The sequence below is a fragment of the Homo sapiens genome, chromosome 12 (genome assembly GCF_000001405.40).
Source record: "Homo sapiens chromosome 12, GRCh38.p14 Primary Assembly".
Taxonomy (NCBI): domain Eukaryota; kingdom Metazoa; phylum Chordata; class Mammalia; order Primates; family Hominidae; genus Homo; species Homo sapiens.
The window spans coordinates 65,810,780-65,823,147 of NC_000012.12; the positions used below are offsets into that span (position 1 = coordinate 65,810,780).

The window sequence follows — 12,368 nt, forward strand, 5'->3', positions numbered from 1 at the left end:
TACAATAATCATTCATCTATGATACAAATATGATAAGTGATTTTATTTTTATTTTAATATTTTCAGGTGATAAATCTGGTTTTCTCCCAATACTTTTATTGGGTATCATAGAAAAAAAATGTATAAGCCAATATTCATCTGTAACTGAGGGTTATCTACCATTATAAGTTAGAATCAGAGGTATAAAGTTATTTCCTAACCCAGTGTTTTTCACCTCTGCTCTAGGAAGTTCTAGGGATTATTTCCAAGAGTGGGAATAGGGAGATAATGGGAACCAGTGCCAGGATGGGAAAACATGAACTATAATTGATGAACTGCTGGAGGCTCAGAGTATGCTAGCCTAAGAGTTAAAAAACTCCATGGGGTTCCAGCCATGGGGTTGTCCACACTTCTGTGAGTTTTATGTAAAGGATCTCTACCAGGTCTTCACAGTGATTATCTGAGAAAAATCTTCTCATGCTTCTGGCAAGGGAAGGGGAAAATAACCCATTTTGAAACTTGCAACAGCATTTTGTCCCTAACAAGGCCTGCTCTCAGGAGAAACTATTAACTGGAATCCAATCTATCGGGGTCTTACTAGAGCCTAACCTACTTGAAGGAAGGAAAATAACCCCAGCCTCCTATAGCCATCCTGCTCCACCTAACAGGCAGGGGAAAGAAGGGAGAAGCACTCAGTTCAGGGGCACAGGCTCACCAAAAAGTGCAACCTGATCATAGGACTATAGAAGACTCTCTCCCCTTCACACCTTAGGATTACATTACTGAAGGTCTAGTCACCTCAGTTCTTTGCACCCAGTACAGCATGTCCACCTTTCAACAAAAATGGCAATGCACACTAAAAGACAAAAAAACACAGTCTGAGTGACTGAACAAGCATCAGAGCCAGAGTCAGAAATGGGAGGAATGTTGGAATTATCAAATGAAAAATTCTTAAAAACTATGATAAGTAAGTAGAGGCCTCTAATGAAAAAAGTAGAGCGTATACAAGAACAGATTATAATGTAAGCAGAAAGATGGAAATTCTAAAAAAAGAATAAAAAAGGAAATGCTAGAGATCAAAATACTGTAACAGAAATAAAAAATGCTTTTGGTGAGCTCATTAGTAGACTAGACATGACTGAGGAAACAATCTCAGAACTTAAGGATGTAACATTAGAAACTTCCAAAACAGAAAAGCAAATAGAAAAAAGATTCAAAAAAACCAGAACAGAATATCCACGAATTGTGGGACAACTATAAAAGGTGTAACATAACACATAATAGGAATAGCAAAAAAAGAAAGAAACAGAAGTAATATTTGAAGCAATAGTGACTGGGAATTTCCCCAAGGTATTGTCAGACACCAAACCACAAATCCAGGAAGCTCAGTGAACACCAAGGACAAACACAAAAAAACCCACCCAAACTCAAAACAAACAAACAACAAAAACTACACCTGGCTATAATATATTCAAACATCAGAAAATTAGAGATAAAGAAAAAGTCTTGAAAGAAGACAGAGGAAACAAACATTTTACCCATAGAAGAGCAAAGATATAATTACATCAGACTTCTCAGAAACCATGCAAGCAAGAAGAAAGTGGAATTAAATATTTAGAGCACTGAAAGAAAAAAAAAATCTGTCAACCTAGAATTCTGCACCTTGTAAAATTATTCTTCAAAAGTGAAAGAGAAATAAAGACTCATAGACAGACTAAAGCTGAGGGAATTTGTTGCCAGTAGAACTGCCTTACAAGAAATGTTAAAGATCTCTTCAGGGAGAAAGAAAGTGATAGAGCTCAGAATCTCAGATCTACATAAAGAAAGGAAGCACATCAGAGAAGGAATAAGTGAAAGTAAAATTAAAACGTTTATTTTTCTTATTTTTAGTTGATCTAACAGATAACAGTTTCTTCAAAATAGCAAGCAACTGTGTATTTGCATATATATATTTACACACATACTTATATATTCTTATGTGTAAATAAAGCAAATAACAGTAGGAGACAATAAAAGGAAGGGAGGAAGGAATTAGGGATGTTTTGTTATTGTAAGGTACCTGCACTACCCATAAAGTGGTATAGTGTTACTTGAAAGTGGACTTGAATTTATTGTAAATGTATATTGCAAGTAAGAAAAAGTTTAAAAAGTACAATTTATGGGCCAGGCGCAGTGGCTCATACCTGTAATCCCAGCACTTTGAGAGGCCGAGGTGGGTGGATCACGAGGTCAGGAGATCAAGACCATCCTGGCTAACACTGTGAAACCCCGTCTCTACTAAAATACAAAAATATTAGCTGGGCGTGGTGGCAGGCGCCTGTAGTCCCAGCTGCTCGGGAGGCTGAGGCAGGAGAATGGCGTGAACCCGGGGGGGGGCAGAGCTTGCAGTGAGCCAAGATCACGCCACTGCACTCTAGCCCGGGTGACAGAGCGAGACTCCGTCTCCAAAAAAAAAAAAAAAAAAAGTACAATTTATGTGCTATGAAAAGAGACAAAATAGATTCATACAGAATACTCAATTAAACCATGAAAGGCGGGAGGCCGAGGCGGGTGGATCATGAGGTCAGGAGATCGAGACCATCCTGGCTAACAAGGTGAAACCCCGTCTCTACTAAAAATACAAAAAATTAGCCGGGCGCGGTGGCGGGCGCCTGTAGTCCCAGCTACTCGGGAGGCTGAGGCAGGAGAATGGCGTGAACCCGGGAAGCGGAGCTTGCAGTGAGCCGAGATTGCGCCACTGCAGTCCGCAGTCCGGCCTGGGCGACAGAGCGAGACTCCGTCTCAAAAAAAAAAAAAAAAAAAAAAAAAAAAAAAAACCATGAAAGGCAGAAAAAGAGTGGAAGACCAAATAGGAACAAAGAAGGGCAACAAATAAAAAGCAGTAACAAATATCATAGATACTAATCCAACTATATCATCAGTAATCACTTTGAACAGCAATAGTCTAAATGCACTGATTAAAAGTTCAAAGTGGATCAAAAAATAAGACAGACCCAAGTATATGTTATCTACAAGAAACCCACTTTACATATAAAAAAACATAGATTAAAAGTAAAGGGATGGAGAAAGATACACCACACTAACACTAATCACAAGAAAGAGGAAGTAACTATATTAATTTCAGACACAGCAGACTTCAGAGCAAGGAAAGTTATCTTTTAAAAGGGAGCATTATATAACAACAAATAGGTCAATTCTCCTAGAATGCATAACAATTCTTAATGTATTTGTGCCTAACAACAGAGCATCAAAATACATGAGGCAAAAACAGATAGAATTGCTTTGTTTTCTGAGGAACTTCTATACTGTTTTCCATAATGGCTGTACTAATTTACTTTCCCACCAACCATGTGCAAGAGTTACCCTTTCTCTTCATCCTCATAAGCATCTGTTATTTTTTGTCTTTTTGATAACAGGCATTTTAAGTGGTGTGAGATGATATCTCATTGTGGTTTTGACTTGCGTTTCCCTGACGATTAGTGGAGTATTTTTTCATACATCTGTTGGCCATTTGTATATCTTCTTTTGAGAAATGTATATTCAGATCATTTGCCCATTTTAAAATTGGATAATTTGTTTTATTGCTGTTGCATTGTTTGAATTCCTTATATATTCCGGTTATTAATCCCTTCAGATGGAGAGTTTGCAGATATTTTCGCCCATTCTGTAGGTTGTCTTTTCACTCTTGATTGTTTCCTTTGCTCTGCAGAAGCATTTTAGTTTGATATAATCCTATTTTATATAAATCTACAGTAATCAGAGCAGTGTGATATTGGTTAAAGAATAGACAGATAGGCCGGGCGCCGTGGCTCACGCCTGTAATCCCAGCACTTTGGGAGGCTGAGGCGGGCGGATCATGAGGTCAGGAGATCGAGACCATACTGGCTAACACGGTGAAACCCCGTCTCTACTAAAAAACACAAAAAAAGTTAGCCGGGCGTGGTGGCCGGCGCCTGTAGTCCCAGCTACTCCAGGGGCTGAGGCAGGAAAAGGGCGTGAACCCAGGAGGCGGAGCTTGCAGTGAGCCGAGTTCGCGCCACTGCACTCCAGCCTGGGTGACAGAGCGAGACTCCGTCTCAAAAAAAAAAAAAAGACAGACAATGGAACAGAATAGAGTGAAGAAATAGACCTACATAAATATAGCCAACTGATCTTTGACAAAGAAGCAAAGGCAGTACAATGAAGCAAAGATAATCTTTCCAACAAATGGTGCAGGAAAAACTGGATGTCCAAATCCCTCCCCCCGCCAAAAAAAAGAATCCAGTGGGACTGCTCTGAAAAGGGAGCACTTTTACTGCTGGTGGGAATGTAAATTAGTACAACCACTATGGAAAACAGTATGGTGATTCCTTAAAGAACTAAAAGTAGAACTACCATCTGATCCAGCAATCCCACTACTATGTATCTATCCAGAGGAAAAGAAGTCATTATATGCAAAAAAACATGTGCACACACGTTTATAGCAGCACAATTAGCAATTGCAAAAGTATGGAACCAGTCTAAATGCCCATCAACCAACGAGTGGATAAAGAAAATGTGACATATATATATATGCACAGACACACACCATAGAATACTACTCAGCCATGAAAAAGAATGAAATAGTGGCATAAGCCACAACCTGGATGCAGTTGGAGACCATTATTCTAAGCGAAGTAACTCAGGAATGGAAAACCATTATATGTTCTCGCTTACAAGTGGGAGCTAAGCTATGAGGATGCAAAGGCATAGCAATAATATCATGTACTTTGGGGATAGGCGGGGAGGAGGGAAGGGTTAAAGGATAAAAGACAATACATTGGGTGCAGTGTACGCTGCTCAGGTGACGGGTGCAACAAAATCTCAGAAATCACCACTAAAGAACTTTTCCATGCAACCAAACACCACCTGTTCCCCAAAAACTATTGAAATTAAACACACACACACACACACACACACACACACACACACACAATAAATCTAGATACAGACCCTATATTTTTCACAAAAATTAACTAAAATAAATCTCTGATTTATTAATAAATGTAAAATGCAAAATTATAAAACTCCTAGAAGATAGCATAGGAGAAAACCTAGATGACTTTGAGTATGGCAATGATTTTTTAGACACAATGCCACAGGCATGATCCATGAAAGAAATAATGAATAATCCGGGCTTTACAAAAATTAAAAACTTTTGTGCTGCAAAAGACAATGTCGAGAAAATGAGAAAACAAGTCACAAACTGGGAGAAAATATTTGCAAAAGTCACTTCTGATAAAGAACTCTTATTGAAAATATACAAAGAACTCTTCAAACTCAAAAATAAGAAAATAAAAAAAAAACCTATTCTAAAAAATAGGCAAAAGACCTGACCACAAAAGGAGATATACAGATGGCAAATAAGCATATGAAAAGATGTTCAACATCATGTGTCATTAGGGAATTGCAAATTGAAACCACAGTCAGATACCGCTACACACCTATTAGAATGGCCAAAATTCAAAACTCGTAACACCAAAAGCTGGCAAGGATGTGGATGGAGCAACAGGGACTCTCATTCTTTGCTTGTGGGAATGCAAAATGGTAATGGTATAGCTGCTTTGGAAGACAGTTTGGCAGTTTTTTACAGAGCTAAACATACTCTTACCAATCCAGCAATTGTGCTTCATGTTCTTTACCCAAAAGAATTGAAAACTTATGTTCACACACACACACACAAAAAACTGGCACATGGATGTTTATAGCAGATTTATTCATAATTGTCAAAATTTGCAAGCAACCAAGATATCCTTCACTTTGTGAGTGGATAAACTGTAGTACATCCAAACAATAAAATGTTATTTGGTGCTAAAAAGAAATTAGCTCTCAAGCCATGACAAGGCATGGAGAAAACTTAAATGCATATTACTAACTGAAAGAAGCATATCTGAAAAGGATACATATGGTGTGATTCCAACTTTATGAAATCTAGAAAGGCAAAAACTATTGAAACAGTAAAAATATCAGTGGCTGACAGAGATTAGGTGGGAGGGGAGATGACGAGCAATGCATAGGGATTTTTAGGGCAGTGAAACTATTATTCTGTATGTGACTACAATGGTGGATACGTGTCATTCTACATTTGTCAAAACTCACGGGATGTACATCCACAAGAGTGAACCCTACTGTAAACTATGGACCTTGGGCAATAATGATATTTCAGTGTAGGTTCATGGATTGTAACAAATGGTGTCAATGTATATATACATAGGTCGGGAGGTTGTATGTATGTGGAGACACAGAATATATGGGAACTCTCTGTACTTGCCACTCTATTTTGCTGTGAACCTAAAAGTGCTGTAAAAATAAAATTCATTGATTTTTCTAAAAAGCCAGTCACATTATAACTTTTGCCAATCATGCATGGATTGAATATTTTATCAATTAAGAATTACATTTGACTGTTCATGACAGAGAATGGCTTGAACCAGGAGGCGGAGGTTGCACTGAGCCGAGATCGCACCATTGCACTCCAGCCTGGGCAACAAGAGCGAAACCCCGTCTCAAAACAAAACAAAACAAAACAAACAACAACAACAAAAATAAGTCATAAATTCTAATGTGCAGTATGAACCTGTATTTGTTCACTTAAAGTCCGGAAGGATTAAAATAGTTTTAGAGTTTTCTCTCAGTGGTGTGATAATTGGGGAATTTTTGTCTTTACTTTTCTGTCGCATGCATTTTCAACAATGCATTTTCTATTACAGTTGTGATAAGAGAAAAAGAACAATAACAATAACTGATCAGAAAAAGAAAGAAATCCTTCTAAAAGCAGTGAAGAATGGATTTTTACAGTGTAAGACTGAAAGCTAGGAGACCATGGAGAAAGATAGTGAAGTAATCCAAAAGAGAAGGGGAGGGAGCCCTAACTAAGGCAGTGACAGTGGGGTGGGAAGTAGAGTCAAGAAATATTTAGAAGGCAGAATTAGAGGGACTTGGTGATCATTTGATGTGGAAAGAGAAGGATCTAGATTGATTCCTAGCTAAGTGCGATTCCTGGATAAGAATGATTGGTAAGAAAAGAAAATCGTTTTGGGGAAAAAATTATGGGCCAGTTTCTATGGCTATGTAACAATTCACCCAAAAACCTAGTGAATGAAGAACTAACACAACATGTGTTTTACTCCTAAATCTGCACTTGGGTCAGAGCTCAGCAGGGGTCTCTCCTCTTTGTTCTGCTTCACATCTGCTTGGGGTGGCTTAAAGGCAGTTGGGGGTGGGGGCCTGGAATTATCTGAATGTTCATGCACTCACTTATCAGGCAGCTGATGGGAAGATAAATGTTTGAGACCTGTCACAGCAAGGGCTCCTTGGCATTTCTATCTCTGTGTGGCCTCTGCCCAAGGTCTCTCCAGCATGGTGGCTTCAAGGCAGCTAAGCTTCTCACATTCAGGAATTCCAAGGTGGCAGGAGGAGGCACGGGGAGAGATTGAGATCAAGGCAGCAATTGTATTATCTGTGTTTGTAGCCTTGTGGTATCTAGTCTCCAAAATGATGCAGCATGATTTCTACTGCCTTTTATTTATTACAAGCATGTTAGTAAAATTGACCCACGTTTAAGAAGAGTGGAAATTAGATTTCACCCTTTGTGGGAAGAATGTTGAAGAATTTACAAACATGTTCTTAAACCACCACAGATGATCAATTCAGTTTCACAGACACTGAGTTTGAATTTCTGGGTGCCTTAGTCTGGTTCCTGAGCAAACAAGAGTCTTGGGTAAGGATTAATCCTTATGCTTTATTTGAGAAGTACACACTCAAGGCAGTGAAAGTAAGGAAAAACGAAAAAAAAGGCAGGGAAGGATGGAAAGCAATTCAAGATGATGCTGGTCACTACTACCCAATTACCGCAAAGAGACAGGGCAGGTGGCTTGGTAGGAGTGATGCGACCACGTGGGGCATTTCCAGATAAATTCTAGATAAAGTCATTGTGCTTTGGAGCTTGGTGACATTTCACGGATGGTGAAAGGAGAGGAAGTTTATTTAACTAGATTCCCTCCTGTATTAGTTTTCAATGGCTGCATAACAAATTACCACAAACTTAATGACTTAAAATATGGTTAAAATACCCATTTAATAGCTCACAGTTTTGTGAGTCAGAAGCCAGGTATGGGGTAGCTGGGGTTCCTACTCAGGGATCATAAGGCTGAAATCAAGGTGTCGGCCTGCCTGTGCTATTGTCTGAAGGCTCTGGGGAAGACTCCACTTTCAAGCTTGTTCTTGTTGTTGGTAGAATTCAGTTCCTTGTGATTGGAGAACAGAGGTCCTTATTTCTTTGTTAGATGTTGGTCTGGGCTGCCATCAGCTCCTAGAAACCACTCACATTCCTTGCCACCCATGTCCTCCATCTTCAAAAAGCTATGGTATGAGTCAAATCCTTCTTGAGCCAGAGGAAACTCTCTGCTTTAAACACACATTTGGTATGACTCCTCTGGATAATTTCCCTGTTTTAAGGCCAGTATGTCAGGTAATACAACCTAGTCACAGGAGTGAAGCCCAGCCAGTGATTATGTACTCATGTACACCTCGAGGCAGAAGATCTTGGATGCCATTCTGCCTACTACACCTCCTGTCCCTAAATCTGATTTCAAAGCCCATGTTCTTCCTGCTACCCAAAGCTGCTTGATAATATATGGAGACCGAGATTGCTTGGGGCTGATAATACAATGTCAATAGATGAAAGGCAGACATGAAACTCCTCCACTTCTGTTCTGGTTCCATGACTTTTGTTGAAAGGAATGTTCTGTGAATCCCAGCATGTATTAAGTGCTCAATAAATAGGGCTGAATGAATGATGGATTGGACAGAGGAGAGTACTGGAAGACTTAATGTGATAAGTAAATAGATTTTAAATGAAGACCTAATTGTGTTAATAGAGATTCTCTCTAGTTTTAGATGAATTACATTTCTGAGTCCTGAGAGAATAACAGGTGAGATTTCTGCAAAATCAACTCAACTCAACATATGTTTCTTGAATGAATGAGTGGACAAATTTATTTTGTTTGGTGATCCTCTGACTACAGGACTAGGAAGCCTATCTGAAAGAATTTAAAACCCCAAAACTAATTTAGCAGCATATATTTGTTCTTGATGATACTGTAGGGAAACTCTTAGAGATAATCTCTCCTACATTTCATTAACTATTAAGCATTAAAGACACAATTATTATTATTATTATTATTATTTTCTTTTTGAGATGGAGTCTTGCTCTGTCACCCAGGCTAGAGTGCAGTGGCGCGATCTCGGCTTACTGCAAACTCCACCTCCCGGGTTCACACCGTTCTCCTGCCTCAGCCTCCGAACTAGCTGGGACTACAGGTGCCCACCACGTTTTTGTATTTTTAGTAGAGACAGGGTTTCACCGTGTTAGACAGGATGGTCTCGATCTCCTGACCTCGGGATCCACCCGCCTCGGCCTCCCAAAGTGCTGGGATTACAGGCGTGAGCCACTGCGCCCGGCCCACAATTATGATTAAATAATAAATTATTAAAGACATAATTTCTAAATTGTGGGTTTGAGCAGTGCGAATGACCTTATATTAAAACACATGAAATGTTTTTCAGCCAAAGTAGAATGCAAAGCTCTGAAGGCCAGATTATGTGTTTATTTTGCTTTGTTTTGTTGTGTGTGTGTGTGTGTGTGTGTGTGTTTTGAGACAGGGTCTCACTCTGTCACCCAGGCTGAAGTACAGTGGTACCATCATTGCTCACTGTAGTTGCGACCTCTTGGGCTCAAGTGATCCTCTCACCTTAGCCTCTCGAGTAGCTGAGACTATAGGTGCACATCACCATGCCTGGCTAATTTTTTTATTTTTTGAAGAAACAGGGTCCCACTATGTTGCCCAGGCTGGTCTCGAACTCCTGGCTTCAAGTGATCCTCCCACCTCGGCCTCCCAGAGTGCTAGGATTACAGGCATGAGCCACTTCACCTAGCCTATGTGTTTACATTGTACTTTACTAAACTTCTATTTACATACACACACACGAGTGCTATGCATTCTGTTCGATCAATATTAGTTATAATTTTTTTCTGTGACCTTATATAGATTCAATTCCAAAATACCTGATTATAATAAATCTGCATTTAATTACACATGAAATATATTCATGATTAATCAGTTATAATCTGAGTAAATCCTTAAATAATTCTTTTTAATTTGTGAATGTATTAAGGTGTCAATATGTCATTGATAAAGTGCAATATGAGAACTTAAATCTCCTTGTCACAGATGCATCTTTCTTTCGTTAAAAGAATGCCAAAGGTATTTTAGTATATCTAACGCTTTTCTCATCCTGTATGGCATGTTCTTTAAAATAGTAAATTTATTATAGATACCTTCGTTGTTGTAATAAATTAATAACTACCAGAAGTCTATCATGAACAGAACACTACCTAGACAAGACTAGTGCAAAAAAAAAAAAAAAAAAAAAGAGGTGCTTGAAATGCTACCTGTCTTCTGGGAATATACATAAAATTTACATATAAGCATGTGTATTAATCTATTCTCACACTGCTATGAAGAAATACCCGAGATTGGGTAATTTAGAAAGGAAAGAGGTTTAATTGATTCACTGTTCTGCATGGCTGGGGAGGCCTCAGGAAACTTACAATCATGGCAGTAGGCAAAAAGGAAGCAAGACACCTTCTTCACAATGCAGTAGGAAGGAGAAGTATGAGAGCTGAGTAAAGAGGGGAGCCCATTATAAAACCATCAGATCTTGTGAACACTTACTCACTATCATGAGAATAGCATGGGAGAACCACCCCCATGACTCAATGACCTCCCACCGTGTCCCTCCCACCATACGTAGGGATTATGGGAACTACAATTCAAGATGAGTTTTGGGTGGAGACAGAGCCAAACCATAGCAGCATGTATACCACCAAAATAGAAAAGACACTACCTAGTATGTGATAACATAGTGCTAAGACACCTTGAATTCTAAGATACATCCCAAATTCCAAGATGTTAAAGATGAAAATACAATATATCTTAATAGTTTTCATACATATGTACTATATATCTAAGACAGAAATTTTACATGTGATATTCTCAATCCTAGTCTACTTATTTTTTAAATGATGTTATGGGTTTGCTAAATTAATTTTACCACCCACTAATGGGCTGACCTGATCTAAACACTAATCTACATCATGTGTCACAGATAATTAAAAACCTTGTTAACATATACAACCAAGGTGCTAATTGCTTAATTCTATGGTGGGTGCAGAAGAAGAAAAGACACAATTGAATATGGACAGAAACTACCTGGAAAGTTTTCAAATTGGAAAGAAGAATTGAGCCTTGAATACATGGGTAAAATATGGTGTGATAAAGAAGAGGCAGTGAATGGTTGAGAAACATAAACTGGGGGAAAAACCCTCAGATGTAAATGTAAAAAAAAAATTCCTTTCCTTAAAAATAAAATCTAACCATTTAACATTATTTTAAAAATATATGAGAATCCTTTTTGAATAGTAAAAGTCTCAATAATTTCAAAGATTACAACAAATTTTAATGTTTCACCTACAGAAAGTATACAGAATTCTGAAAAATTAAATACAGCTTCCAAAGAATGAAAATATATAAAATTGATTTAAGTAGAACTTGATACAATATTTGTTTTATACCCTTGTTATAAATTCAAAAGGGGTCAAATAGTCTAATAGCAAAATGATAGCAGCCTGAAAACAAGTGGCTGTATATTCCCCCACCCCCAATTTTTCTGTGCTTCTCTTATATTCAAAGATTAACGCAAAAACAAAATTTTGGAATCTGCTCTTTGCTGACCTCTGTACACGTTACCAAAAAAAAAAAAATCCTAGGATATAATGAGGTATACAGCACAAAACTGGCTGGCTGAACTCCTCAGTGACTCCCCTGCATTCACCTTCAGAATTTCTCTCTACTCCTGGCAAAAAGTGAGCAAACAACACAAACCCAAAAACCTATTTTGTACGTGTATGTGAAATGTGCACACCACAGTGCAAATATGTGATAGTTTTTAAATGTGCACGATTGGCAGTTAGGAAATGTCACTGTAATCGTTAGGTGAAACTTCAATCCCTTTGATGAAGATACCATCTTTGAGCCAAGCCCTGACAGAAAACCTTTGGTTCCTGTTAGACCCCTCCCTCCCCAGTCAGCTGCTGGGCTCCATCCGGAGGGATGGAGGCTCTCTCTCTCCATTACAGCTAAGCGTTCCCAGACCCAGCAGAAACCCTGGGTTCCTGCAGAGCACTCAACGTGCAGCAAAGTGTCCCAGCTCTGCAAAGGGCAGCTGGAAATGGATTTAAAATGGCAACGCGGACCAATCAGCGCTGCCGCGCCAAAGCAGACATTTACACGCGCCTCCTCCACATGCAC

The 12,368-nt window shown here is 38.8% G+C and overlaps 1 pseudogene across 1 annotated transcript in view, besides 1 other annotated feature; it reads right to left on the reverse strand.

Annotated features, from left to right (window-relative positions):
- Nucleotides 1–12,368, reverse strand: part of RPSAP52 (ribosomal protein SA pseudogene 52) — a 68,955-nt pseudogene that overhangs the window by 52,760 nt on the left and 3,827 nt on the right. The window lies entirely within an intron of this gene.
- Nucleotides 7,050–7,344: a silencer, noted in NCBI's record as "tiled region #869; K562 Repressive non-DNase unmatched - State 22:ReprW". NCBI's record gives its function as "represses a minimal TATA promoter and a strong SV40 promoter by Sharpr-MPRA in K562 cells {active_cell/tissue: K562}" and the evidence as "EXISTENCE:reporter gene assay evidence [ECO:0000049][PMID:27701403]".